The 5,687-nt window shown below is 48.6% G+C and overlaps 1 long non-coding RNA gene across 1 annotated transcript; it reads left to right on the top strand.

Annotated features, from left to right (window-relative positions):
• LOC124903969 (uncharacterized) lies at positions 1–2,403 on the top strand. Its single transcript, XR_007065697.1, has 2 exons — positions 1–305; positions 2,059–2,403. It is a non-coding gene; the product is annotated as an uncharacterized LOC124903969 (long non-coding RNA).
• The last annotated feature ends 3,284 nt before the right edge of the window (positions 2,404–5,687 follow it).

A 5,687-nucleotide genomic window follows, 5' to 3' on the forward strand; every position in this document is an offset into this window, starting at 1 on the left:
TCTGTCTCAGAAAAAAAAAAAAAAGAAGATATTGTGGCTTCTGCCTCTCTGTCTCTTGGATCACTCCCTTGGGGAAGCCAGGTGCCGTGTTGTGAGGCCAGCTGCCTCTATGGAGAGGCCCACCTGGAGAGGAACTGAGGCTTCCTGCCAATGGCCACATGAATGAGCTTGGAAATGGATCCTCTGGCCCCAGAGAAAGTAGATGACTGCAGCCCTGCCGACAGCTTAACTGCAATTTCATGAGAGACCTCGAATCAGAATCACCCAGATATGCTACTCTTGGATTCCTGACTATCAGAAACTGTGTGAGATGATAAATATTTATTGTTTTAAGCTGTTACATTCTGGGGGTAACTTGCCATGCAACAGTGCATAACTAATACACTGCGCCATGATGTCTGGGACCTTAGCTGGGAAGACTCAAATGGCTGGGGGCTGGAATCACCTGGAGGTTGCTTCACTCACATGACCAGTGCCTGAGCTGGGACTGTCACCTGGAGAACCTAAACGTGGCCTCCCCATGTGGCTTGGCTTCTCACAGCATAGCACCTGGGTACCAAAAATGAGTGCCTGTAAACTGAGCTTTCTAAGAGACCAAGGAAGAAGTTACAAGGTTTCTTTTGGCCTAGCCTGAGAAATGGTGCATTGTAACTTCTGCTGCATTCTCTGGGTTAGTAGCAGTCACCAAGGCCAGGAGGAGAATTTGACTGGTCCCCTTGACAAAGTAAAAAGGTCATATTGCAAAACCTGTCTTGGGGGAATTGCCTGCCCTACCCTGAGGGAGACAGGGACAGATGGCTTCGTTTCACAAGCCCTGCATAGCTCCTGCATAGAACAGCACTACATAGTGCTAGTTCTGCTGAAATAGCACTTCCTATCAACCCTTCAGGGGAGCTTCTGAGCTTGGAAGGTGGAGCATTTCTCAGCTTTTGTTCTCATTTGTGGACTCTGGCGCTAATTCTTTTTTTTTTTTTTTTTTTTTTTTTTTGAGACGGAGTCTTGCTGTGTCGCCCAGCCTGGAGTGCAGTGGTGCGATCTCGGCTCACTGCAAGCTCCGCCTCCCGGGTTCACGCCATTCTCCTGCCTCAGCCTCCCGAGTAGCTAGGACTACAGGTGCCTGCCACCAGGCCCGGCTAATTTTTTAAAAATATTTTTAGTAGAGACAGGGTTTCACCGTGTTAGCCAGGATGGTCTCGATCTCCTGACCTCGTGATCCGCCCGCCTCGGCCTCCCAAAGTGCTGGGATTACAGGCGTGAGCCACTGTGCCCGGCCTTTTTTTTTTTTTGAGATGGAGTCTTGCTCTGTCATCCAGGCTGGAGTGCAGTGGTGGTGTGATCTTGGCTCACTGCAGCCCCCACCTCCCGGGTTCTAGCGATTCTCCTGCCTCAGTCTCCCAGGTAGCTGGGATTGCAGGCATGCACCACCATGCCCAGATAATTTTTGTATTTTTAGTAGAGACAGGGCTTTGCCATGTTGGTCAGAGTGGTCTTGAACTCCTGACCTCAGGTGATCCGCCCGCCTTGGCCTCCCAAAGTGCTGGGATTACAGGTATGAGCCACCGCGCCTGGCCCTCTGGTGCTAATTCTACCTTTCTGGAAAAACACGGAAGGTCTCACAGGCTCCTCCCACCACCAAGTCACCCCATCCTTTCTCTGCCATCCACAGCACTTAGCCCTCTACTTCCGTCAGGTAAGTAGCCCTTTACCTACCCTGCTAGCTGGAATTATGGCCCTGTTTTACAGAGGAGGAAGTAATCTGGCCAAGGCCACACAACCAGAGGGTGGTAAAGCAGGAACTCAGTGCCAGCTCTGACCCCTAAGTCTATGCTTTAGGGCTTCTGGGATTCCAGAAAGCCTGCAGGTGTTGGAGCCTCAACCCTCATATCCTCATGGCCCTGCTGAGGGTGGGGCCAGTGTGAGCAGCATGAGAGGGTGGGGCTGGAGGGGGCAGGGGCTTCAAACTCTGCCAGACGGTTGGGTCTAGTTGTCAGGTGCACCCTCTGGGTGAAAGGGGAAGAGAAACAAGTGAGAGAAAATCGATTTTTACTTTCTTTTCAGGCCCGTCCCCAGTTGGTGAGTTTTCCAGTGGCCGGAAGACCGAGCCCTAGAGTAACAGCTGTGGACTCACTGCCCACTCTGTGTTTATTGGGCTGGAACCCCCTCTCTGTCCTGGAACTTCTGGTTGGAGAGCCCTCTGAGCTCATGGGGCCTGTGAATGGTGGGTCTTGGAGTGATTTCCAGCCCCAGTGATCAGGTGTCCTGTCAGTGCCCCTCAACTCCCTGCAGTCCCCTACTTCCCATCAAGCCAACTCCCAAATTCCAGGATGTGACAGTTCCCAGGTCTACTGCCTTCCAGGCACTGAGCTCATGTTGGGGACCCAGAAATAAATGAGATACATACAACCTCTGTCCTTGAGTTGGTCACAGTCTAGTAGGTCACAGTCTAGTAGAAGTAGAAATGAAGAGTTAACTGCCAGATGTCATGTTACAGGGCACATTTAATAAGGGTGAGAACCACACAAAGGTGGGAGTGCCTAACTTAACAATCAAAAGAAATGAACCATTGATACACAACAACATAGATGAATCTCAAATCATTATGCAGAACAAAAGAAGCTGGACACAAAAGAGTACATACTCTATGATTCCAATGTTATCACATTCTAGACCAGGCAAAACTGTGGATTATATAGAGATGGAAATAAGGTCAGTAGTTACTTGGAGTGAGGGGGAATTGACTGGGAAGGGGATGAGAGAATGTTCTGACATAATGAAAATGTTCAAAACCTTGATAGGAATATGGGTTATATTAGAATATTTGATTGTTGGGCTGGGCGTGGTGGCTCACGCCTGTAATTCCAGCACTTTGGGAGGCTGAGGTGGGCGGATCACGAGGTCAAGAGTTCGAAACCAGCCTGGCCAACATGGTGAAACCCTGTCTCTACTAAGAATACAAAATTTAGCCGGATGCGGTGGTGCACTCCTGTAATCCCAGCTACTCAGGAGGCTGAGGCAGGAAAATTGCTTGAACCCGGGAAGGGGAGGTTATAGTGAACCAAGATCAAGCCACTGCACTCCAGCCTGGCGACAGAGCAAGCAAGACTTCATCTCGAAAAAAAAACATATTCCGTTGTTAAAACTGATAAAACTGTACGCCTAAGATCTGTGAATTTCATCATATGTGAATTATGTCCATGGCAGGTGGCATTCAAAAGATTCCCCAGGCAGGCATGGTGGTTCACACCTGTAATCCCAGCACTTTGGGAGGCCAAGGTGCGCGGATCACTTGAGGTCGGGAGTTTAAGACCAGCCTGGCCAACATGGTGAAACCCTATCTCTACCAAAAATACAAAAAAGTTAGCTGGGCATGATGGTGTGCGCCTGTAGTCCCAGCTACTCAGGAGGCTGAGGCAGGAGAATCGCTTGAACCTGGAAGGTTGCAGTGAGCCGAGATCACACCAGTGCACTCTAGGCTGGGTGACAAAGCGAGACTCTGTCTCAAAACAAAGAAACAAAAAACCTCAAAGAGCCCCCAAAGACTCCTGCCTACTGGTGTGCATGCCCTTGTATTATCCCCTCCCACGCTGTATCAGGTTGGTCTATTTGGCAGAAGTAATGGGGTGTCACTTCTGAGATTAGTTATAAAAGACACTGCAGGGCGGGCGTGGTGGCTCACACCTGTAATCCCAGCACTTTGGGAGTCTGAGGCGTGTGGATCACCTGAGGTCAGGAGTTCAAGACTAGCCTGGCCAACATGGCAAAACCCCATCTCTACTAAACATACAAAAAAATTAGCCAGGTATGGTGGTAGGTGCCTGTAATCCCAGCTACTCGGGAGGCTGAGGCAGGAGAATCGCTTGAACCTGGGAGGTGGAGGTTGCCATAAGCTGAGATCGCACCATTGCACTCTAACCTGGGAGACAAGAGTGAAACTCCATTTCAAAAAAAAAAAAGACACTGCAGTTCTGTCTTGGTCTCAATCTCCCTTTCCCTCAGGTCACTTATTCTGGAGAACCCATGTGTTGGGCATCCCTATGAAAAAATCCGAGGGGCAAGAAACTAAAGCCTCCTGTCAACAGCTATGTAAGTGAGCTTGCAAGTGGATTCTTCAGCTCCAGTTAAAGCCTTCAGATGTTGGCAGCCCTAGCTGTCTGCTTGACCACAAACTCATGGGAGACCCTGAGCCAGACCACATGGCTAAGCTGCCTCCTAATTCCTGACCTTCAGAAACTGGGTGACATAATCAATGTTTGTTGTTTTAAGCTACTAAGTTTTGAGTTGTTATGCAGCAATAAAAGATGAATATAATATTTCAATAAAAGAAACATGTAGGGAAAAATATTCTAAGTGCTCCTGGCCCAGATGGCTTTCCCAGGGACTTTCAAGTGCTTTCTATGACTCAGACTTCTGGGCTCAGCCTCTATGCTGGGGAGATGATGGCCTTAGGGAACTCTGTCTAGACAATAGGAACTGGTGTCTCCAAAATAGCCGCAGACACCGCCCACCAAACCAGCCCCACAGCAGCTGCACACAGGGCTCAGGCCCACACTTACTATGCAGAGAGGACTCCAGAAATGCTCCCTGACCATGTGGCCACAGCTGCAGCAGGAATCCACTCAGGGCTCAGATGCTGCCATGGTTTGAATGTTTGTCCCCTCCAAAACTCGTGTTAAGGTTAGTCCCCAGTGTGGCAGTATTGAGAGGTGGGACCTTTGACAGGTGATTGGGTCATGAGGCCTCTGCCCTAATGAATGGATTAATTCATTCATGGATTAATGGATTGATGGAGTAATGGGTTATCAGGAAATGGAACTGGTGGCTTCATAAGAAAAGGAAGAGATACCTGAGCTGGCTTGCTCAGCCCCCTCATCATGTGATGCCCTGTACCATATTGAGACTCTGCAGAGAGTCCCCACCAGCAGAAAGGTCCTCATCAGATGCAGCTCCTCCACCTTGGACTTAACAGCCTCCATAACTCTAAGAAATAAATTCCTTTCCTTTATAAATTACCCAGGTTCAGGGATTCTGTTATAAGCAACAGAAAATGGATTAAGACAGGTGCTAATAACAGCTGCTATTTTTGGAACTTTCTGTGTCCCAGGTAATAGGCAAAGTGCTTTGCATGCATCTTTTTATTTGCTCCTTCCAACAACCCTCTGGAGAAGATATTATTAAACCTATCTTACAGTGGAGAAAACTGAGACTCAGAAAGCTGAAGCAAGTTGGCAGGGTCATAGAACTACTAAGTGATGTGGCAGCTTTAGATAGAAATCCAGATTTGTCTAGTTCTCAAACCCAGAGGCAGGGAAGCAGTAACCATAGACTTGAAAACACTTTTTTCATCTATTCCCTGTGATGCTTTTCATGGGAGAATGAGCCACACATTCTGCTATCAGGGAAAAGTCCACAAATCTCAACCCAGACTCCCTAGGTCAATGTATAAAGGTATTAGACTGGCAGATGCTATCAGAGTCACCAAGAGTCTCAGAGATCATGGGAATCTCAGAGTGGGGAACTGAGACCCAAAGAGGGAAGTGGGTCCTTTCTAAGGACTCCCTGCCCAGTGTTTTTGCACCACTTTGCCCTGCCCCTTGCCATATGAGATGGAAATAGTTGCCATGTGGGAGAAACATTAGGGCAAAGAGTGGTTTTGGAGTGGGGAAAGCAGTGAAAAAGGGATATCAGGC

Source organism: Homo sapiens, chromosome 1 (genome assembly GCF_000001405.40).
Source record: "Homo sapiens chromosome 1, GRCh38.p14 Primary Assembly".
Lineage (NCBI taxonomy): Eukaryota > Metazoa > Chordata > Mammalia > Primates > Hominidae > Homo > Homo sapiens.